At 36.2% G+C, this 24,754-nt stretch overlaps 1 protein-coding gene across 42 annotated transcripts in view; it reads left to right on the forward strand.

Annotated features, from left to right (window-relative positions):
- CCDC7 (coiled-coil domain containing 7) overlaps positions 1–24,754 on the forward strand; it is a 439,541-nt gene that overhangs the window by 379,689 nt on the left and 35,098 nt on the right. For 36 of the 42 annotated variants that reach the window (XM_047425743.1, XM_047425742.1, NM_001321115.2 and 33 more), the window contains 6 exons: positions 1,506–1,592; positions 11,803–11,886; positions 22,231–22,314; positions 22,531–22,614; positions 22,864–22,947; positions 23,364–23,447. In XM_047425743.1, the coding sequence (XP_047281699.1) occupies positions 1,506–1,592; positions 11,803–11,886; positions 22,231–22,314; positions 22,531–22,614; positions 22,864–22,947; positions 23,364–23,447 (507 nt within the window). Of the gene's footprint in view, positions 1–1,505; positions 1,593–7,017; positions 7,053–11,802; positions 11,887–22,230; positions 22,315–22,530; positions 22,615–22,863; positions 22,948–23,363; positions 23,448–24,754 lie in introns of those variants that run through there. The other 6 variants (XM_011519667.1, XM_047425744.1, XM_011519674.1 and 3 more) reach the window with 3 other exon arrangements.

Raw genomic sequence — 24,754 nt, forward strand, 5'->3', positions numbered from 1 at the left:
CTTATATCTGTAAGAGAAAGACAAAAGAGCTGAAATACATCTGTTAATGTTCCTCAGTTTTCTGTTGCATATAGCTATTACTTTTACAAAATGTTGTTATTGAATTATTGAAAACTCGTTTTGTCCAATATGATGCTTTTTTTTTTTTGAGATGGTGTCTTGCTCTGTTGCCCAGGCTGGAGTACAGTGATGCAATCTTGGCTCACCACAACCTCCGCCTCCCAGGTTCAAGCAATTATCCTGCCTCAGCCTCCTAAGTAGCTGGGACTAAGGCGCACGCCACCACGCCCTGCTAATTTTTGTGTTTTTAGTAGAGACAAGGTTTCACTATGTTGGCCAGGCTGGTCTCGAACTTGGGACCTCGAGATCTGCCCACCTCGGCCTCCCAAAGTGCTGGGATTACAGGCATGAGCCACTGCACCTGGCCAATATAATGCATTTTTACAATGATGTGTAATCTGGTTTCTGCCTCTATTTGAATTATATTGGTGGTATATTTGGGCTGCCATGATAATAGTGCAAATTTTAACATTAATAATGGGCTCAGCCAATTTTCCAAAGCAAGACTTCCACTCTGTCGTTCAGGATCATTACAGGTGTCCAACTACCATTACATGCTCTGCTAAAACCAACTTTGACACAAAAAACTTCAGGTTTAATAAACCAGGTTTACCAGTTCTAATTATCTGTTTTTCAATATGAAATTCTCTTTAGTAGATTTTTTAGTTTTTCCATCATTATACCTAGATACTAGTTTCTAAATCCAACAAAATGTATAAATCACATAAAACTCAAATGAAAAGGAATACAATCCTAAGGCTAGTACCACTACAAATATTCCCGTTTTCTTCTTCCCAGCTGTAAAGTCCGCCTGCTAAAAGAACCAGAGAGAAGAGACTTTTTTCACATTACATGCGTTATTTATTATTCTTTTTTATCACTGATGCCTATTTGAATTATAGTTACACCACCTAAAATAGACTATTAAAATATTTCTGGATGAGTCAAGGAACTTCTGTTTTATTATATTTTGTGAGTTGTGATGACCATTGTGTGCAGATAGGTCAACTATGAAAAAAAATTGATGTTCCACCTCACCAGATATACCCCTACAACATATATATGTTCTTAATATATACTTGAAAGTTATGTTATTACCACAAACTATCTAGTGTGATTTAAATTTGCATATGAGATTGCATTATATGGAAAAAATAGTTAAGAAATAAGGTAGCATAAGTCTGTGCCTCAGTTTTGTTATTACTTGCTATATGGTCTTGGTCAAATCACTAAATATAACTAAGCCTCAATATAATGAGGCTTATATGATTGTTAATTGTTAATTTTCCTTTCAATTTGAATTCCTATGTTGCTGCAATCTGGACACTTTATTATAATTCTACTCCAATGAAGAATATTAATTATGATAGTATTAGACACATGCACACACACATGTTAATATTTACATTAAAAAAGTGTTTTGAAATCTGTTTACTTTTTTATAGAGACTGATGAACGATTGCATAGTACAACTGAGAGAGGTACAATAAATGATGCAATTAAGACGCAGTTAAAGAGAAAGAGTTACCCTGGTAAGAATAAGAATTTTTAAAATCTACTTATGGTTTCCTATCTTCTCTGGAGTTTAAGTATGTATCTCTAATGACAACAGTACCTATATGTAATTATCACGTGAGAAAAAGTCTTCATGAATTTCCTCCTATAATTAGTTGAACTCTAGTATTATTCTCAATAGAAAATTAGCTTTAGGGCTCATTTATTTAAAAAGTTATCCATAAAAGTCTAATGCTATAGTGACCTTAGAATATGCTTGCAGATGTATTTCAAATGCTGTTCAATTTGCTATTTATGGCTAATTAGGAAAGTTGCTTTGTATTTGCAAAAGCAGAATTGCTAGCTTATGAACATGATAACAAGATGAATATAACTGATAATGATTTCATCGGTTACCCATTCCCTCTCATATCGTTATGTTATCAGGCAAATTGACAATGTTTCAGCCACTTTAGTTTTGTTATAAAGTTCAAAAATTATACTACTGCATTTTTAGTGGTGAAACAATGACACACTTCTCCTTAATTTTTCGTGTTATACCCATAGAGGCAGAGAGCTTAACAGAGACATAAGGGGAAGAAACAGATAAAGAGAGCCCTGTTAAAACAACTCTCATCCAAAAGTGATTGTGTGTTATGATGGTTAATACTGTCAATTTGATTGGATTGAAGGATTCGAAGTATTGATCCTGGTGTGTCTGTGAGAGTGTTGCCAAAAGAGATTAACATTTGAGTCAGTGGCTGGGAAAGGCAGACACATCCTTAATCTGGGTGGGCACCATCTAATCAGCTGCCAGCATGGCTAGAATATAAAGCAGACAGAAAAACGTGAAAAGACTAGACTGGCCTAGCCTCCCAGCCTACATCTTTCTCCTGTGCTGGATGCTTCCTGCCCTCGTGTGAGTTAATACTTAATAAACTCCCATCTATATCATCTGTATCTATCTATATATCTATATCTATATCTTCTATTACTTCTTTCCCTCTAGAGAACCCTAACTGATACAGATTTTGGTACCAGGAGTGGTTCTAGAGGAACAGAATATTAAGGATGGAGTTCTTTTGTTGGTTTTGGGGTTTCTGGAGTTGGCTGCTTAATGTGATTAAACACAAAAATGTTAAGGACTCTACTTCTAATAGTGTGGAGAACACCGATAAAGAGCTGAAATTGTGGAAAAACATACACAAGCTCTTATCATGCAAGTGGCTGACCTGCAATGAAAGGTGCATGCACAGCCTCGCCAGGTGTCTACTGTTAAAGTGAGGGCATTGATTGAAAAAGAATGGGACCCTGCAACTTGGAATGGGGATGTGTGGGAGGACCTGATGAAGCTGGAGACACTGAATTTGTAAACTCTGATGAATCTTTTTTACCAGAAGAAACAGCTTCCCCATCCCCAGTAGTGACAACATCCTTTCCCCAACCCATGCTGCCACAAGCCTTTGCATCTTTGTCTGAGGAGATAAACTCTGTGCTGCCTGAGGCAACAGTGATGGCCTTCCCTGAGGCAGTTGCCAGGCAAGATAATGTTTATTCTCCTCAGGAACCACCTCCAACATCCCTGTTTGCTTCTAGACCTATAACTAGACTAAAGTCCCAGCAGTCCCCTAGAAGTGAGGTTCAAAGTGTAACCCACATGGAAGTGCACTATACTCCAAGAAAACTGAGTTTTCTAATTTATATGAGCAGAAATTTGAAGAACTTGGAGTCCAATATGCAAGGGCAGGAAGCATCCAGCACAGGAAAAAGATGCCCTCCTTTTGAGAGACACCTCTTGTCCTATTACTGGGCTTTGGTAGAAACTGAACATTTGACTATGGGTCATCAAGTCACCATGTGACCTGAACTGCCTATCATGAACTGGGTGCTTTCTGACCCATCTAGCCATAGAGTGGGGCATGCACAGCAGTATTCCATCATCAAATGGAAGTGGTATGTACATGATTGGGCTTGAGCAGGTCCTGAAGGCACAAGCAAGTTACATGAGGAAGTGGCTCAAATGCCCGTGGTCCCCACTCCTGCCACCCTGCCTTCTCTCCCCAAGCCTGCACCAATGGCCTCATGGGGAGTTCCCTATGATCAGTGGACAGAGGAAGAGAAGAATAAGGCCTGGTTCCCAGATGGTTCTGCATGTTATGCAGGCACCACTCGAAAGTGGACAGCTGCAGCACTACAGCCCATTTCTAGGACATCCCTGAAACACAGCGGTGAAGGGAAATCTTCTCAGTGGACAGAACTTCGAGTGGTGCACCTGGTTGTGCACTCTTCATGGAAGGAGAAATGGCCAGATGTGTGATTATATATTTGATTCGTGGGTTGGAGCCAATAGTTTGTCTGGATGGTCAGGGACTTGAAAGAAGCATGATTGAAAAATTGGTGACAAAGACATTTGGGGAAGAGGTATGTGGGTGGACCTCTCTGAATGGTCAAAAACTGTGAAGATATTTGTATCCCATGTGAGTGCTCACCAATGGGTGACCTCAGCAGAGGAGGATTTTAATAATCAAGTGGATAGGATGACCCATTCTGTGGACACCACTCAGCCTCTTTCCCCAGCCACGCCTGTCATTGCCCAATGGGCCCATGAACAAAGTGGCCATGGTGGCAGGGATGGAGGTTATACATGGGCTCAGCAATGTGGACTTCCACTCACCAAGGCTGATCTGGCTATGGCCACTGCTGAGTGCCTAATTTGCCAGCAGCAGAGACTAACACTGAGCCCTCTATATGGCACCATTCCTCGGTACCTGGTGGCAGGTGGCAGGTTGATTATATGGGACCTTTTCCATCATGGGAAGGGCAGAGGTTTGTCCTCACTGGAATAGACACTTACTCCGGATATGGGTTTGCCTATCTTGCATGCAATGCTTCTGCCAAGACTACCATCCGTGGACTCACAGAATGCCTTATACACCATCATGGCATTGTCTCTGACCAAGGCACTCAATTTACGGCTAAAGAAGTGCGGCAGTAGCGTGTTCTCACTCATAGATGGGAGTTGAACAATGAGAACACATGGACACCGGGTGGGGAACATCACACACCAGGGCCTGTCTGGGGGTGGGGGGCTGGGGGAGGTATAGCGTTGGGAGAAATACCTAAGGTAAATGACGAGTTAATGGGTGCAGCAAACCAGCATGGCACATGTATACCTATGTAACAAACCTGCACGTTGTGCACATGTACCTTGGAACTTAAAGTATAATAAAAATAAATAACTAAAAACCATGTTTTAAAATGGCCCTGCAAAGCCATATTTTTTGTGGGAGAAATTTCTATCTATAGAGAATCTCCATTAATGCAGCCACGAAATCCCTTTCCAGGCATTTCCCAGATATAGGATAGATTAACTAAGTGCTTGCCATCTTTTAAGTCCTGAAAAGAGACATTTATCATCTATTCTCTCTAAAGGCTGCTACCTGTGAGGCTTCATCTATGTAACAAAGACCTTGGCATCCACAATCCCCCTTGTCTTGACTAAAGCATTTCTTTCCACTGACTTCAAGTCTTTAGACAAAGCTTAACTCTTTCAACCAATTGCCAAAATCAGAAAATCTTTGAATCTACCTCCAACCTGGAAGCCCAAGCCCCTTTAAGATGCCCTGCCTTTTTTTATCTGAACCAAAGTATACCTTCCATGTATTGATTTATGTCTTTGCTTATAACTCCTGTCTCCCTAAAATGTATAAAACCAAACTGTAATTCAATTACCTTGTGCATACTTTCTCAAGAACTCTTGAGACTGTTCCCTGGGCCATGGTCATTCATATTGGCTCAGAATAAATTTGTTTAAATAGTTTAAAAAAGAAGAAGAAGGAGAAGGAGAAGGAGAAGAAGAAGAAGGAAGGAAGGAGAAGAAGAAGAAGAAGAAGAAGAAGAGGAAGAGGAAGAGGAAGAGGAAGAAGAAGAAGAAGAAGAAGAAGAAGAAGAAGAAGAAGAAGAAGAAGAAGAAGAAGAAGAAGAAGAAGAAGAAAGAAGAAGAAGAAGAGCAGCAGTGGACTCATGCTCTTGGAATTCACTGGTCTTACCATGTTCCCCATCATCCTGAAGCAGCTGGAATGGCCTTTTGAAGTCACAATTACAATGCCAACTAGGTGACAATACTTTGCAGGGCTGGGACAAAATTCTCCAGAAGGCCATGTATTCTCTGAATCAGCATCCAATATATGTTACTGTTTCTCCCATAGCCAGGATTCACAGGTCCAGGAATCATGGGGTGGAAGTGGGAAGTGGCACCACTCACCATCACCCCTAGTGATCCACTAGCAAAACTTTTGTTTCTTGTTCCTGTGACATTACTTTCTGCTCACCTAGAGGTCTTAGTTCCAGAGGGAGGAACGCTGCCACCAGGAGACACAACAACAATTCAATTAAACTGGAAGTTAAGAGTGCCACATGGACACTTTGGGCTCCTCCTACCTTTAAATCAACAGGCTAAGAAGGGGGCTACATTGTTGACTTGGGTGATTGACCCGGACTATCAAGATGAATTCAGTCTACTACTCCACAGTGGAGATCAGGAAGAGTATGCATGGAATACAGGAGATTCATTAGGGCATCTCTTAGTATTACCATGCCCTGTGATTAAGGTCAATGGGAAACTACAACAGCCCAATCCAGGCAGGACTACAAATAGCACAGACCCTTCAGGAATGAAGGTTTGGGTCACTCCACCGGGAAAAAATTTCATAGCCTGCTGAGGTGCTTGCTGAAGGCAAAGGGAATACAGAATGCATAAGTAGAAGAAGGCAGTCACCAATGCCAGCTACAACAATGTGACCAGCTGCAGAAATGAGGACTGTAATTGTCATGAGTATTTCCTCCTTCTTTTGTTAAAAACACATTTGTGCATGTATACACTTGTACTAAGAACATATCTTCATTTTATTTCCTTTTTCCTTTATCATGTGATGTAAGATTTATTGACTTCATATCAGCATTTAAGTATTGTTAACTTTAGGTAACAGTATTTGGGTTGGGGATTTGTGCGTTTCTGGTTATATGAAGGATAGTTGTATCACGTTAGGCATAATTATGACTTTATTATTGCCTTTATTTGAAGATTATGTATGATCTCAGGAGATGTGTACGGGTTCAAATTGACAAGGGATGGACTTATGATGGTTAATACTGAGTGTTAACTTGATTGGAGTGAAGGATGCAAAGTATTGATTATGGGTGTGTCTGTGAGGGTGTTGCCAAAGGGGATTAACATTTGAGTCAGTAGACTGGAAAGGCAGACCCACCCTTAATCTGGGTGGGCACCATCTAATCAGCTGCCAGTGTGGCTAGAATATAAAGCAGGCAGAAAAACGTGAAAATACTAGACTGGCCTGGCCTCCCAGCCTACATCTTTATCCTGTGCTGGATGCTTCCTGCCCTCAAACATTGGACTCCAGGTTCTTCAGTTTTGGGACTTGACTGGCTCTCCTTGTTCCTCAGCTTGCAGGAGCTGACCTATTGTGGGACCTTGTGATCATGTGAGTTAATACTTAATAAATATATATATCCTATTAGTTCTTATATATATAAGGATATATATATATATATATATCCTATTAGTTCTTTCCCTCTAGAGAACCCTAATACATGTGTATATACATCTGTGCCCACAGAGGAATAACATTAGAAGCTTCATGTTGCAGGAGAAGACTTCAGTAAAATAGAAAATAGTCCACCCAAATAGCTAAATAAAGAAACATGTACACAACAAGATTCCAAAAGGTAAACAAGAAATCCATATGGAGGTTTGCTATCTAAAAAGCCCAATTTTAGCAAAATATGATAGACATGCAAAAAAGAAAAAAAAACAGGAAGATGTGTCCCATACATAGGAAAAAAGCAACAGAAACTTTTTATGAGGATGCCAAATGTTTGGTATAGCAGGGAGCAACTACAAAATAATTCTTATAAATATTTAAAAGAATTCGTAAAATCTATGCTTAAGCATGAAAGGAAGATATGATGAGAATGTCTCACCGAATAGAGAATATTAACAAAAAGATTAAAAGTATTTTGATTTACGATTGAACGTATTTATGGGATACAATGTGATGTTTTAGTGCATGTAAAAAGGAAATTCTAGCGTTGATAGTACAATAACTGAAGAAAAATTCACTAGAGGGGCTCAAGAGTAGTTTTAACAGAAGAAATAATCTGTAAATTTAAAGTAATAGGATTACTAGGAGGGAAAGAACAAAATAATTTAAAGAAATTATGGCTGAAATTTTGAAAAATGTTTGATGTAAAATACTAGTCCACCAATCTAAGCTCAATTAAATCTAATTATATAAACACAATAAAATTCACAACCAGATCCAACATAGTAAAAACATTGAGAGACAAAGTGAAAACCTTGAAGTAGCAAGAGAACAACTACAGTCATGTGTTGCCTAATGATGGAAATGTGTCCTGACAAATGCATCGTTGGGTGACTTCATCATCATGCAAAAATCATAGAGTATACTTACACAAACCTAGGTGGTATAGCTTTCTACATATCTAGGCTATATTGTATAGCCTATTGCTCCTAGGCTACAGACTTGTACAGCATGTTACTGGACTGAATTTTGCAGGCAATGGTAACACAAGAGTAAGCAATTCTGTATCTAAACATAGAAAAGATACAGTAAAAATACCAGATAAAAGATAAAAAGTGGTACACCTGTGTAGAGCACTTACCATGAGTAGAGCTTGCAAGACTGAATGTTGCTCTGGGTGCATCAGTGAGTGAGCAGTGAGTGAATGCAAAGGTCTAGGACATTATTGTACACTACAGTAGACTTTATAAAACACTGTATGTACACTTAGGCTACATGAAATTTATTTTTAAAAATCTTTCCTTAAAAATAACCTTAGCTTACTGTAACTTTTTAACTATAAACTTTTATTTTTTTAATTTTTGGACTCTTATAATAACATTTAACTTAAAACACACATTGTACAGTTGTACAAAAATATTTTCTTTTTCTATATCCTTATTCAATAAGCTGCTTTCTATTTAATTTTTTTATTACCTTTAAAACATTTTTGTTAAAAACTGAGACACAAACATACACATTAGCCTAGACCTACACAGAATCAAGATCATCAGTATCATCACTGTCTTCCACCTCCACGTCTTGCCCCAGTGGAAAGTCTTCAGGGAAAGTAACACACGTGAAGCTTTCATCTCCTATGATAACGATGCCTTCTTCTGGAATACGTCCTGAGGGACCTGTCTGAGGCTGTTCTACAGTTAATGTTTTTTGTAAGTAGAAGTATGCATACTCAAATAAAAATAAAAATGTATAGCAAATATATAAAACAGTAACATAGCTTTTTATTATTATCATCAAGTGTTATGTACTGTACATAATTCTATGTGCTATACTTTTATATATCTGGCAGCAGAGTAGGTTTGTTTACACCAGCATCATCACAGGTTTGTGAATAATTCATTACATTAAGATGTTACAATGGTTACAACATCACTACATGATAGAAATTTCCAGCTCCTTTACAATCTTACGGAATCACCATCTTATATGTAGTCTAAACATCATGTTTGTATGGTTACATGAGTGTAACCATACAAAAGTTAATTCTAGTAAGATTAATAGGTGACATAGCATCAGAAACTATGGAGGCCAAGGCCAGGTGCAGTGGCTCATGCTTGTAATCCCAGCACTTTGGGAGGCCAAGGTGGGGGTGGATCACTTGAGGTCAGTGGTTCAAGACCAGTCTGGCCAACCTGGTGAAGCCCTGTCTCTACTAAAATACAAAAATTAGCTGGGCATGGTGGTGCGGGCCTGTAATCCCAGTTACTCATGAGGCTGAGGCAGGAGAATCGCTTGAACCCGGGAGGTGGAGTTTGCAGTGAGCCAAGATGACAGAGAAAGACTCCATCTTGGGGGAAAAAAAACCCAAAAATTATGGAGGCCAGAAGGCAGTAGGATGGCATTTTCAAAGGGCTGCAAGAAAAAAATATCAACCAATAATTTTATGTTTGGCAAAATTATTTTTAAAAGTGAAACTCAAACAAAAAGAATCTGAAATAAATAAAAATTTACAGGATTAGTTGGTATCAGGCCGTGTTATTAAAAAAAACTTAAGAAAGTTCCTCAGGCTGAAAACAAGTTTCCTCACATCATAATTTTTTCAACAAAAGCATTAGTGAAATAATTCTATTACATAATATTATATAAATGCATATTTTGTTCTTTTCTTCTCTTAATTGATTTAAAATGTAATTGTGTGGTACCATATATAGATATATAAATTTGATATGTAACTGTATTTTGGGGCCTATCACATAATAGATATGTAATAGGCATGCAATATATTTGACAATAGCAGCACAAAGGAAATGGCTGGGAGCAATAGTATGCTGGAGTAAGAAAATGACAATAGATGGTAACTCAAATCCACAGGAAATAATAAAAAGAACCAGAAACTATAAACAAGAATGTTCATATAACAAACATTATAAATATGTACTTGTTCTTCTTTCTTTTCTCAGTTCTTTAAAAGGTATAAAGTTATATAGAGAAATAATTATAACAATGGTTTTAATATTTATAGGTGTAACAACAGTACAAATGTCAGGAAGAGGGAATAGAAAATATAGCAGTAATCCTTGTATAGTTTACTGGAAATTAATTAGAATAAATCTGAAGTAGATTCTAAAAATGACTGTGATGATGGTTTAACAACTGTGAATATATTAAAAATATTTGAATTAGATGCTTTACAAGGGCAAATTGTATGATATATTACCCTTTTTTTAAAAAAAAAAAAAAGAAAGCTCAATAAAATCCATGTGTAACAGTTTCAAAAAGAGATGTAAAGTACTGGGAGGATGTTACGAAGAAGGAAAATTGTGAATCTTACTAAATTATATTTCTCTAGCACATAATTTTGTATTCTTAGTGCTTAAACCTATCTGTCCTCAAATACTCATTACTGATCTAAGAAACTTTTGCTTATCTAACGCAAATGAATTAGTACTCCTTGCTTATACCAGTTAGGGAAATAACTAAAGAGGTTAAAATATGTCTGCTAATGTTCCCCAGGTTTTTGTTGTTGTTGTTGTTGCTGTAGGTCATCATTTTCACGAAATATTTTAATCAAATTAATAACTTATTCTGTCAATCTGATGCATCTTTTCATTTTGGAGATAATGCCCTAAATTGTTCCTATTTCTATACAGATTGTAATGGTGGTACATATGGGATGTACCAATGGGTCATTTGCAGCTTTAAAATTTATTCATGGACTCAACCATTTCTCCAGAGCAAAACTTCTACTCTATGATGTCTGGGTCACTGCAGTTTTCACACTACAGTCACATGCTCTGCTAAGACCCAATTTCACCCACAAAACTTGAGGCCCGGTAGATGGCAAAGCTTCATAAATCCAGATTATTTGATTTTTAATATGAATTCCCTTTATTAATTTTGATTTCATTTTTCTGTCATTGACCCTAGCAGTTGTTTCAAAAGCAAGCAAAAGTTCAAATCATATCAAAACTCAAAGGGAAAGGGATCCAAACTCAGTGCTGATAGGAATGCAAAATTACCCATTTCTTCCTCACCATCTACAAAGTCTACATTCTAAATGGACCTGAGAGGGCACGTTCTACCAGTCCACAATAATCACTGCTGTCACATAATTTGTAGTTACATAACATAAAAAGGGGCTAAAATATTCTTAGAAGAATCAGAGAATTTCTCCCTGATGGTTAACTTTCTGTGACTATAAAGACCATAGTTCACAAGTTGACTTGTGAATAAAATTATATTCCACCTCACCAGGTATATCCATACCTGGTGTATGGATATGCTTGTATGAAGTATGAATGTGTTTAAAAATTATATTCTTATCATAAACTCTCTAGGATAATTTCAGTTTGGAAAAGAGGCAGCATTGTATGGAAGAAAGCACTGGTTAAGGAGTAACAAACATCTATTTCTGTATAAGTTTTATAGTTAACTGTATATCTGATTTTGTTCAAATCACTAAACTTCTCTAGGCTTATATGATTGCTAAGAATGCTTCCAATTCTAAGGCTTTGTAATTCTGCAGTCCAGTGCTTTTTTTTTTTTACTAATTCATCTTCTTTAATGACTGATGCTAATTAAGTTATTACTATTCATACATACAAATATACTATCACATACACACAGCACGGACATATGTTACAATTTACCTTTCAAAGCGTTTTGAAAACCTGTTTTATTTTTATAGAGACTGTCTTAAAACACTTGAAAGGTGTTAATGGAAAAGATATAATAAAGCATCTAATCAACATACAGTCAAAGAGTCATGGAGGTAAGAACAAGAATTTTTCAAGTCTCCTGTTAATGGCTTATTTAGCTCTGAAGTTAAATATGGATCTTTGATGACAACTGTAGCTGTAAGTTATTACATGCGAAAATATCTTCATGAATTTCCTCCTGTAATTTGTGGAACTCTAGTATTTGCTATCAATGGAACATTAGTTAGATATGATTAGTTTTAGAACTCATTTACTGGTAAAGTAATCCATAAAAATGCAAGGCTGTTGTGACCTAAATATGTGCTTGATGCTATTATTTCAAATGCTATACTTTAATTCAATGCTGAGTTCAGGTCCTGAATATCTCTGATAAAATTTTCTGTCTCAATTATCTGTCTAAAAGTCTCCCACTATTATTGTGTTGGAGCCTAAGTCTCTTTGAAGGTCTCTAAGAACTTGCTTTATGAATCTGTGTGCTCATGTGTTAGATGCTTATATTTAGGATAGTTAGATCTTCTGGTTGAATTGAACCTTTACCCTTATGTAATGCAGCACTATTCACAATAGCAAAGACATGAAATCAACCCAAATGCCCATCAGTAATAGACTAGATAAAGAAAAGTTGGTACATATACACCATAGAATACAATGCAGACATAAAAAAGAAACAAGATCATGTCCTTTGCAGGGACATGGATGGAGCTGGAGGCTATTATCCTTAGCAAACTAACACAGGAATAGTAAACCAAATACTGCATGTCCTCACCTATAAATGGGAGCTAAATGATGAGAGCATATGGACACATGGAGGGGAACAACGAACACTGGGGCCTTTTGCAGAGTGGAGGATGAAAGAGGGACAGGATCAGGAAAAATAACTAATGGGTACTAGGCTTAATACTTGGGTGATGAAATAATCTGTACAACAAACCCCCATGACACAAGTTTACCTATGTAACAAACTTACACTTGTACCCCGAACTTAAAATAAAAGTTGAAAAAAATGAAAACAAATGCAGTACTTATCATTTTATATTTCTGGCTTAGAGAGGAAAGTTGCCTTAAATTTGTAAAAGCATACAGACTAACTTGTGAATGTGATAAGAAGAGGAGTATAACAGTCATTTTATTGGCTACCCATTCTCTCTATTTGATAAAAATGTCAGGTAAATTTACAATATCTCAGCTACAGTAAAGTTATTCAGTTGTGTTCCACAATTCAGTGATTACACAACTAAATTTAGTTCTGGAATAACAGTGTTAGGCATCTTTTTCCTTGATCTTTGGTGAGATACTGAAAGAGGCAGGGAGCTTAACAGAGAAATACGGGAAAGAGGCCATTAAAGAGAGCCCCCTGAAACCACTGTCATTCAAAAGTGGCAGTGTGCATACCAAAAGCAGTGCTCCCAGAGGAACAATATTAGAATCTTCTTGTTGTGGAGAAAGATAATGTAGTAAAATAGTCAAAAGAAATCACTAAAAAGCAAACAGCAAGTTTTAAAATATGATGAGTAAATCAATATCTAGATTTTTCTACAATATCATCCAAAATATCCAAAATATCCAGTTTTTATTCTAAAATTCTAGTTCTAGATCCTTGAGGAATCACCACACTGACTTCCACAATGGTTGAACTAGTTTACGGTCCCACCAGCAGTGTAAAAGTGTTCCTATTTCTCCACATCCTCTCCAGCACCTGTTGTTTCCTGACTTTTCAATGATTACCATTCTAACTGGTGTGAGATGGTATCTCATTGTGGTTTTGATTTGCATTTCTCTAATGGCCAGTGATGATGAGCATTTTTTCATGTGTCTTTTGGCTGCATAAATGTCTTCTTTTGAGAAGTGTCTGTTCATATCCTTCATCCACTTTTTGATGGGGTTGTTTTTTTCTTGTAAATTTGTTTGAGTTCATTGTATGTTGGTTGTCTGTTTACTCTGTTAGACTTGGCAAAGACTACAAAGCAGTTATTATAAATAGGTTCAGATATTTAACAAATGGTGCTGGGAAAACTGGCTAGCCATATGTAGAAAGCTGAAACTGGATCCCTTCCTTACACCTTATACAAAAATTAATTCAAGATGGATTAAAGACTTACATGGTAGACCTAAAACCATAAAAACCCTAGAAGAAAACCTAGGCAATACCATTCAGGACATAGGCATGGGTAAGGACTTCATGTCTAAAACACCAAAAGCAATGGCAACAAAAGCCAAAATTGACAAACGGGATCTAATTAAACTAAAGAGCTTCTGCACAGCAAAAGAAACTACTATCAGAGTGAACAGGCAACCTACAGAATGGAAGAAAATTTTTGCAATCTACTCATCTGACGAAGGGCTAATGTCCAGAATCTACAAAGAACGCAAACAAATTTACAAGAAAAAAACAAACAGCCCCATCGAAAAGTGGGCGAAGGATGTGAACAGACACTTCTCAAAAGAAGACATTTATGCAGCCAAAAGACACATGAAAAAATGCTCATCATCACTGGCCATCAGAGAAATGCAAATCAAAACCACAATGAGATACCATCTCACACCAGTTAGAATGGCGATCATTAAAAAGTCAGGAAACAACAGGTACTGGAGAGGATGTGGAGAAATAGGAACACTTTTACACTGCTGGTGGGACCGTAAACTAGTTCAACCATTGTGGAAGACAGTGTGGTGATTCCTCAGGGATCTAGAACTAGAAATACCATTTGACCCAGCCATCCCATTACTGGGTATATACCCAAAGGATTATAAAACAAGCTGCTATAAAGACACATGCACATGTATGTTTATTGCGGCACTATTCACAATAGCAAAGACTTGGAACCATCCCAAATGTCCAACAATGATAGACTGGATTAAGAAAATGTGGCACATATACACCATGGAATACCATGCAGCCATAAAAAATGATGAGCTAATGTCCTTTGTAGGGACATGGATGAAGCTGGAAACCATCATTCTCAGCAAACTATCACAAGGACAAAGTACCAAACACCGCATGTTCTCACTCATAGGTGGGAATTGAACAATGAGAACACATGGACACAGGAAGGGGAACATCACACACCGGGGCTTGTTGTGGGGTCGGGGGAGGGGGGAGGGATAGCATTAGGACATATACCTAATGTAAATGATGAGTTAATGGGTGCAGCACACCAACATGGCGCATGTATACATATGTAACAAACTTGCACGTTGTGCACATGTACCTTAGAACTTAAAATATAATACAAATATGCATATAAAAATAATAAAAATAAATAGGTTCAGAGAATTCAAGGAAACCATAATTAAAGCATAAAGGGGGTATAGTGACAATGTCTGTATTCACTGCCCAGATTGCCAGAACAAAATACTGCACTGGGTGCCTTAAACATCAGAAATTTATTTTCTCACAGTTCTGAACACTAAAACTTCAAAATCAAAGTGCTGCCAAGGTTGATTTCTGGTGATGCCTCTCTTCCTGGCTCAAGGACACACTTAGAGAAATGCTAAGTGCACTGGGAAGTCTCCATAATAGAACCGAACAGCAGAAGAAAGAACTTCAGAGCTCGATGACAAGGGTTTTGAATTAATCCATCAAACACAAAGAAACAAGAATTTTCAAAAATGAACAAAGACTCCAAGAAGTTTGGGACTATGTTAAATGTTCAAACCTGAGAATAATTGGAGTTCCTGAGAAGAAGAGAAATCTAAAAGTTTGGAAAACATATTTGTGAGAATAATCAAGAAAAACTTCTCCAACCTTGCTAGAGATATAGACATCCAAACACAAGAAGCTCAAAGAACACCTGGGAAATTCATCACAAAAAGATCATCATGTAGGCCTATAGTAATCAGGTTATCTAAAGTCAAGATAAAGTAAAGAATCTTAAGAGCTGCGAGGCAAAAGCATAAGGTAACCTATAAAGGAAAACCTGTCAGATTAACAGCAGGCTTCTCAGCAGAAGCCCTACATGTTAGAAGGAATTGGGGTCCTATTTTTAGCCTCCTTAAATAAAACAATTATCAGCCAAAAATTTTGTATCCAGTGAAATTGAGCTTCATAAATGAAGGAAAGATACAGTCTTTTCCAGACAAGCAAATGCTGACATAATTTGCCACTACCTAGCCAGTACTATAAGAACTGCTAAAAGGAGCTCTAAATCTTGAAACAAACCCTCAAAATACACCAAAATAGAACCTCCTTAAAACATAAATCTCACAGGACCCATATAACATTAACACAGTGGGGAGAAAAAAAGGTATTCAGGCTACAAATGGTAAGATGAATGGAATAGTACCTCACATCTCAATACTAACATTGAATGTAAATGACCTAAATGCTGCACTTAAAAGATACAGAATGGCAGAATAGATAAGAATAGATACAGAACTGCAGAATAGATAAGAAAAACCTAGTTTCTGCTGTCTTCAGGAGACTCAGCACATAAAGACTCACATAAACTTAAGGTAAAGGTGTGGAAAAAGATGTCCTGTGCAAATGGACATCAAAAGCAAGCAGAAGTAGCTGTTCTTACATTAGACAAAACAAACCTTAAACCAACAGCGGTTAAAAATGACAAAGAGGGACATTATAGAATGATAAAAGGGCTAGTCCAGCAGGAAAATATCACAATTCTAAATGTATATGCACCTAACACTGGAAATGCCAAGCTTATAAAACAATTACTACTAGACCTAAGAAATGAGATGACACAATAATAGTGGGGGACTTTAATACTCCACTGACAGCACTAGACAAATCATCAAGGCAGAAAGTCAACAAAGAAACAATGAACTTGAACTCTACCCTACAACAAATGGACTTAACAGATATCTACAGAACATTCTACTCAACAACTGCAGAATATACATTCTATTCATCAGCACATGGAACATTCTCCAAGATAGACCATATGACAGGCCACAAAACAAGTCTCAGTAAATTTAAGAAAATCGAAATTATATCAAGTACTCTCTCAGACCACAGTGGAATAAAATTGGAAATCAACTCCAAAAGGAACCCTAAAAATCATGCAAATATATGGAAATTAAATAACCTGCTCCAGAATGATCATTGGGTCAACAATGAAATCAAGATGGAAATTTAAAAATTCTTTGAACTGAACAATAATAGTGACACAACCTATCAAAACCTCTGGGATACAGCAAAAGCATTGCTAAGAGGAACTGTTCATAGCATTAAATGCCTAAATCAAAAAGTCTGAAAGAGCACAAATAGACAATCTAAGATCACACCTCACGGAACTGGAGAAACAAGAACAATCCAAACCCAAACCCAGCAGAAGAAAAGAAATAACAAAGATCAGAGCAGATCTAAACAAGAATGAAACAAAAAAATGCAAAAGATAAATGAAACAAAAAGCTGGTTATTTGAAAAGATAAATAAAATTGATAGACCATTAGCAAGATTAACCAAGGAAAGAAGAGAGAAGATCCAAATAAGCTCAATTAGAAATGAAACAGGAGTTATTACAACTTATACCACAGAAATATAAAACATTATTCAAGGCTACTCTGAACACATTTACCCATATAAACTAGAAAACCTAGAGGAGATGAATAAATTCCTGGAAATATACAATCCCCCTAGATTAAACCAGGAAGGTATAGAATCTCTGAACAGACCAATAACAAGCAGCAAGATTGAAATGGTAATTTAAAAATTGCCAACAACAAAAAAAGTTCAGGACCAAATGGGATTCACGGCTGTACTATCTGACATTCAAAGAAGAATTGGTACCAATCCTACTGAGGTGATTCCAAAAGATACAGAAAGAGGGAATCCTCCCTAAATCATTCTATGAAGCCAGTATCACCCTAATACCAAAACCAGGGAAGGACATAACAAAAAAAGAAAACTACAGACCAATATCCCTGATGAACATAGATGAAAAAATCCTCAACAAAATACTACCAAACCAAATCCAAGAGCATATCAAAAAGATAATCCACCATGATCTAGTGGGTTTCATAACAGGTATGCAGGGATGGTTTAACATATGCAAGTCAGTAAATGTGATACACCACATAAACAGAATTAAAGACAACAATCACATGATATCTCAATAGATGCAGAAGAAGCACTTGACAGAATCCAGCATCGCTTTATGATTAAAACCCTCGGCAAAATCGGCATAAAAGGAACATAACATAAGGTAATAAAAGCTATCTATGACAAACCAACAGCCAACATTACACTGAACGGGTTTTGAAAGCATTCCCCCTGAAAACTGGAACAAGACAAGGATGCCTACTCTCACCACTTCTATTCAACATAGTACTGGAAGTCCTAGCCAGAGCAATCAGACAAGGAAAAGAAATAAAGGGCATCCAAATTGGTAAAGAGGAAATCAAACTGTAACTGTTTGCTGATGATATGATCATATACCTAGGAAGCACTAAAGACTCATCCAAAAAGCTCCCAGAACTCGTAAATGAATTCAGCAAAGTTTCAGGATACAAACTTAATATACACAAATCAGTAGTGCTGCTGTACACCAACAGTGACCAAGCTGAGAATCAAATCAAGAACTCAACTCCTTTCACAATAGCTGCCAAAACAAACAAACAAAAAACAAAAAAAGGTAGGAATATACTTAACCAAGGACGTGAAAGACCTCTACAAGGAAAACTACAAAACACTGCTGAAGGAAATCCTAGACGACACAAACAAATGACCATATTGCCAAAAGCAATCTACAAATTCAATGCAATTCCCATCAAAATACCAACATCATTCTTCACAGAACTAGAAAAAACAATCCTAAAATTCATATGGAACCAAAAAAAGCCCACATAGCCAAAGCAAGACTAAGCAAAAAGAATAAATCTGAAGGGATCACATTACCAACTTCAAACTATAAGGCCATAGTCACCAAAACAGCATGGTACTGGTATAAAAATACACACATAGACCAATGGAACAGAATAAAGAACCCAGAAATAAAGCCAAATACTTACAGCCGACAGATCTTCGACAAAACAAACAAAAACACGAAGTGGGGAAAGGACACCGTATTCAACGAATGTTGCTGGAGTAATTGTCAAGCCACATGTAGAAGAATGAAACTGGATCCTCATCTCTCTATGCAAAAATCAACTCAAGATGGATCAAAGATAAATCTAAGTCTTGAAATCATAAGCTTCTAGAAGATAACATTGGAAAAACCCTTCTAGACATTAGCTTAAGCAAAGACTTCATGACAAAGAACCCAAAAGCAAATGCAACAAAAACAAAGATAAATAGATGGGACTTAATTAAATTAAAAAGCTTCTGCACAGCAAAAGAAATTATCAGCAGAGTTAACAGACAACCCTCAGAGTGGCAGAAAATCTTCACAATCTATATATCCGACAAAAGACTAATATCCAGAATCTACAAAGAACTCAAATCAGCAAGAAAAAAAAAATCCCATCAAAAAGTGGGCTAAGGACATGAATAGACAATTCTCAAAAGAAGATATACAAATGGCCAACAAGCATATGGAAAAATGCTCAACATCACTCATTATCAGGGATATGCAAATAAAAACCATAATGCAATACCATCTCATTCCTGCAAGAATGGCCATCATCAAAAAATAAAAAAATAACAGATGTTGGCATGGATGCAGCGAAAAGGAAACATTTTTACACTGTTGGTGGGAATGTAAACTAGTACAACCACTGTGGAAAACAGTGTGGAAAGTCCTTAAAGAACTAAAAGTAGATCTACCCTTTGATCCAGCAATCCCACTTCTAGGTATCTACCCAGAGGAAAGGAAATCATTATACAAAAATATACTTGCACACATATGTTTATAGCAGTACTATTTGCCATTGCAAAAATATGGAATCAGCCCAAATGCCCATCAATCAATGAATGGATAAAGAAAATGTGGTGTGTATATACTATGGAATACTACTCAGCCATAAAAAGGAACAAAATAATGGCATTTGCAGCAACCTGAATGGAATTGGAGACTATTATTATAAGTGAACTAACTCAGGAATGGAAAACCAAACGTTGTATGTTCTCACTCATGTGGGAGCTAAGCTATGAGGATGCAAAGGCATAAGAATGGTATGTTGGACTTTGGGGACTTGGGGAAAGAGTAGGGGGGGCAAGGGACAAAAGACTATGCATTGGGTACAGTGTACACTGCTCAGGTGATGGGTGCCCCAAAATCTCACAAATCACCACTAAAGAACTTAATCATGAAACCAAACACCACCTGTTCCCCAAAAACCTATTGAAATAAAAAAATAAATTTTTTTAAAAAATTTAAAAAATAAAATAACACTGGACGGTAACTCAAATCCACCGGAACAAATGCAAAAAAATATATAAATAAGAAGGTTAGTATAGTAAACACTAAAAATATGTACTTGCTCTTCTTTCTTAGCTTAATTAAAAGGCACAGTATTATATAAATAATTAATCATAACAACAATTATAACAATGTCTTTTATATATAGTAGTAATACACATAATAGTAGTGCAAAAATGTTGAAGAAGGAATAATGCTATATGGGAGTAATATTTCTGTACTTCACTGGAATTTGATTAGTATAAACTCAAGTAGAATCTAAAATTGACTGTGGTCAGAGCTACACAAATATGTGAACATCTTAAAAAACATTGAATCGAACACTTTACATAGGCATATAGCATGGTATGTTATTTATTTTGTAAAAATACCTCAGTGAATTCCAGGCAGGATCATATTTAAAAAGAATTAAAGCAATGAGAGGATACTGTGAGGGAGGAAACATGAATGTTACTAGATTGTAAATTACTTTAGCACATAGATTCTCTTCCTAAATGCTTAACCTTATCTCCCCTAAAATGCTCTTCTTGTTGCCTCTCTGCTTATCTAAGAATCTTTGCATACTCACTTGAAATGAACCATTCCTTCTTATGTGTGCTAGTTGGAGTAATAATCGGAGAGGCTATATGACTGCTCATATTCCCTATTTTTATGTTTCTATAGATGTGCTTATGTTCACAAAATATAGCTGTGTACTTATGGAAAATATATTCTTATGTGTCTCGGTTCATTTTGGTAATGATGCCTCAGCTGGTCCATACTTTGGTTTAGATTTCACTGGTGGTATATTTGGGCTTCAAATGTTACACTGTAATACTTAACATTTATTCAAGAGCTCAGACATTTCTTCAGAGCAAAACTTCCATTCTATGGTATCTGGGTCATTATAGGTTTCCAACTTTAGTTATATAGTCTGCTATAAACAACTTTCTCTCACAAAATATTAGGTTCACCAGTTGACCCAAGTCACCCATTCTAATTGTCCCTGTTCAATATGAACTCTCCTTTCATAACTTTCATGTATTTTTCCTGTTATATGACCTAGTCAGTAATTTTCAAATCTAGCAAAAAATTCAAATCACATAAAAACTCCAGTGGAAAGGAATGCAATCTCAATGCTTATGCTACTACAAGTTTACTTACTTCGTCCTCCCCAAGTACAAAGTCTACAAACTCAAGAAGATATGAAAGTCACATTTTCATATTCCACAAAATATCTAATTATTTTTCTACATTATTGATACATACTTGATTTATAGTTACAAATCTTAGAAATGACATGAAGTCTTTATGAACAAATCAAAGTACTTTGCCCCACATAACTCTCTGTGACTGTGGAGACCATGGTTTGCAAATTGACCTATTTTTAAAAATGTTATGTTTTATCTCACCAGGTACATCCCACAGTAGATAGTGCTCTTGGTGTAAATTTAAGGTTATATTATCATCATAAACTTTCTAGGATAATTTTAATTTGCATAAGAGATGCATTATATGGTAAAGTCAGTGGTTAAGGAATTATAAAGTGTCAGTTTGTACATCAATTTTGTCATTATCTTGATGTGGTCTTGTTCAAATCATGAAGCATCTCTGAACTTCAATATAATAGGCTTATATGAGTTCTAATAGCCCTTCAAATTCTGTTTTGTGATGCTTACTGCAATAAGACATGTTGTGACTCTTCTACTATAATAATAAAAACTCACATGTGCACTACACATGCACACACACACATAAAATGTTTACCTTATAAAATATATTGAAATCTGCTTTATTTCTATAGAGACTAATAAGGAACTCTTAGCAGATGCTATTGGAAGAGGTATAATAAAGGGGTCAATTAAAACACAATTTAAATGTCACCAAGGTAAAAAAAATTTTTTTCAAGACTAATATTTATGGTTTATTCATATTCCCGGAGTTAAATTAAGTATGAACCTTTAATGACAATAGTACCAATATGTTAGTATTATATAGGTGAAATTCTAAATGAATATCCTCCTATAATTAAACACATACACATACTCAGATTTGGTAATGTTTACCTTTCAAAATATATTGATATCTGTTTTATTTATATAGAGACTGATAAGGAACACTTAGCAGATGATACTGGAAGAGGTATAATAAAGGGATCAATCAATGCACAACTAAAGGGTCACCAAAGTAAGAAAAAGAATTTTTCACATCTAATATTTATGGCTGATTGATATTCCCTGAGTTAAATTAAGTATAGACCTTTAATAACAAAACTACCTATATTATAGTGTTACATAAGTAAAATTATTCATGAATATCCTCCTATAATTAAACACAAAAACACACACAAGTATGGTAATGATAATCTTACAAAATATACTGAAATCTGTTTTATTTCTATAGAGACTGATAAGAACTTCTTTGCCTATGCTACTGGAAGAGGTCTAATGAAGGAGTCAACCACGACACAATTAAAAAGTCACCCAGGTAAGAGAAAACAATTTCAAGACTAATATTTATGGTTTATTTATATTCCTGGAGTTAAATTAAGTGTGGACATTTAATGGCAATAGTACCTATATGTTGGTATTACACAGGTAAAATTCTTCATGAATACCCTTCCATAATTACACACACACACACACACACACACACATACACACACACACAGATACACACAGAGGTATGGTAATGTTTACCTTATAAAATATATTGAAATCTGTTTTATTTCAATAGAGACTGATAAGGAATTCTTGGCAGATGCTATTGGAAGAGGTATAATAATAGGGCCAATCACTACACAACTGAAGAGTCACCGAGGTAAGAGAAAGAATTTTTCAAGTCTAATATTTAGGCTTATTTATATTCCCTGAGTTAAATTGAAGTATAGACCTTTAATGACAACAGTACCTGTATCATAGTACTTTCCATAGCAAAAGATGCTATTGGAAGACATATAATAAAGGGACTATCAATGCACAATTAAAGAGTCACCAGGGTAAGAAAAAGAATTTTTGAGTCTAATATTTGTGACCTATTTATGTTCCCTGAGTTAAGTATAGACCTTTAATGACAACAGTGTCTACATGTTATTATTACATAGGTACCTATATCATAGTGTTACATTGGTGAAATTCTTCATGAATATCCTTCTATAATTAGTTAAACACACACGTATACACATGTATGGTAATGTTTACCTTATAAAGTATTTTGAAATCTGTTTAATTCTATAGAGACTGATAAAGAACTCTTAAAAGATGCTATTGGAAGAGATATAATAAAGGGACCAATCAGTGCACAATTAAAGAGTCACCAGGGTAAGAAAAATAATTTTTGAGTCTAATATTTGTGACCTATTTATGTTCCCTGAGTTAAATTAAGTATAGACATTTAATGACAATAGTGCCTACATGTTAGTGTTACATAGGTAAAATTCATCATGAATATCCTTTAATTAAGCTCTAGCATTTACTATCAGTGGAACATTAGCATATTATTGGTTTTAAAACTCATCCATTTGAAAAGTAATGCATAAAAATTCAGTGTTACAGTTACCTTAGAGTAGTCTCAATGTAGGCATTTCCAAAGCTATTCTACTTACTTTTGTTTCTGAAAAGTGATATTTAATTAGCAAAAGCAGAAAGGCAAAAGCACAAAGGCTAGCTGAAGACTGCGATGACAAGAGGAGTATAACACATAATTATTTCACTGGTTATCCATTCCTTCTATTTGATAAAAATGTCAGGCAAATTTATAAAATCTCACCTGCAATACAGTACTTTATTTGTGTTACATAATTCAGAGATTACATTACTGGCTTTCATCTTGGTGTAAGGGTGTTATGTAGTTATACAATTTTCTTTATCTCTGGTGTGATACAAAAAGAGGCAGACAGCTTAACAGAGAAATAAGGTAAAGAGACACATTCGAAGCCGGCCCTCTAAAACCAATGTTATCCAAGGTACTGGATGCATGTTCAAGGCTCTGCCCCTTGGAGAGCAGCAGTAGCACTTCACACTACAGGCAAGAGACTTTAGTACAATAGCCCAGTCACATCGCTATGCAAATAAATAAGGAGAGAACAATGACAAGCCCCAGATAGAGGAGGAGGAAATCAGTACCTGGAGATGCTACAATATACTACGGAAACTGTCAAAACTTGAGCAAAAATTATTAACATGCAAAGAAACAGTGAAGTGTGACCTACACCAAGGAAAAGGGCATGCCACAATAACTGTTTGTGAGAGTTCCAGGTGTTGGACCTAGCCAACGAAACCTCAAAGCACTTATTATAAGTGTGTTCTTAGAGTTAAAGGAAATTATTCTTAAGGAAGAAAAGGAAGGTAACAGAGATATCAGCAAATAATATAGAAATTTCAAAAGACAACACAGCAAAACCCTATCTCTACAAAAAATACAAAAATTAGCCAGGCATGGTGGTGCACACCTGTAGTCCCAGCTACTTGGAGAGGCCAAGGCGGGGGACCACTTGAGCCCAGGAGGTTGAAACTGCAGTCAGCCATGTTCACACCTCTGCACTCCAGCCTGAGTGACAGAACAAGATCCTGTCTCTAAAAAAAAAAAGGAAAAGAAAAGAAAAAGAAATTTCAAAAGAAAAAAGAAC

This window comes from Homo sapiens, chromosome 10 (genome assembly GCF_000001405.40).
Source record: "Homo sapiens chromosome 10, GRCh38.p14 Primary Assembly".
Classification (NCBI taxonomy): Eukaryota; Metazoa; Chordata; class Mammalia; order Primates; family Hominidae; genus Homo; species Homo sapiens.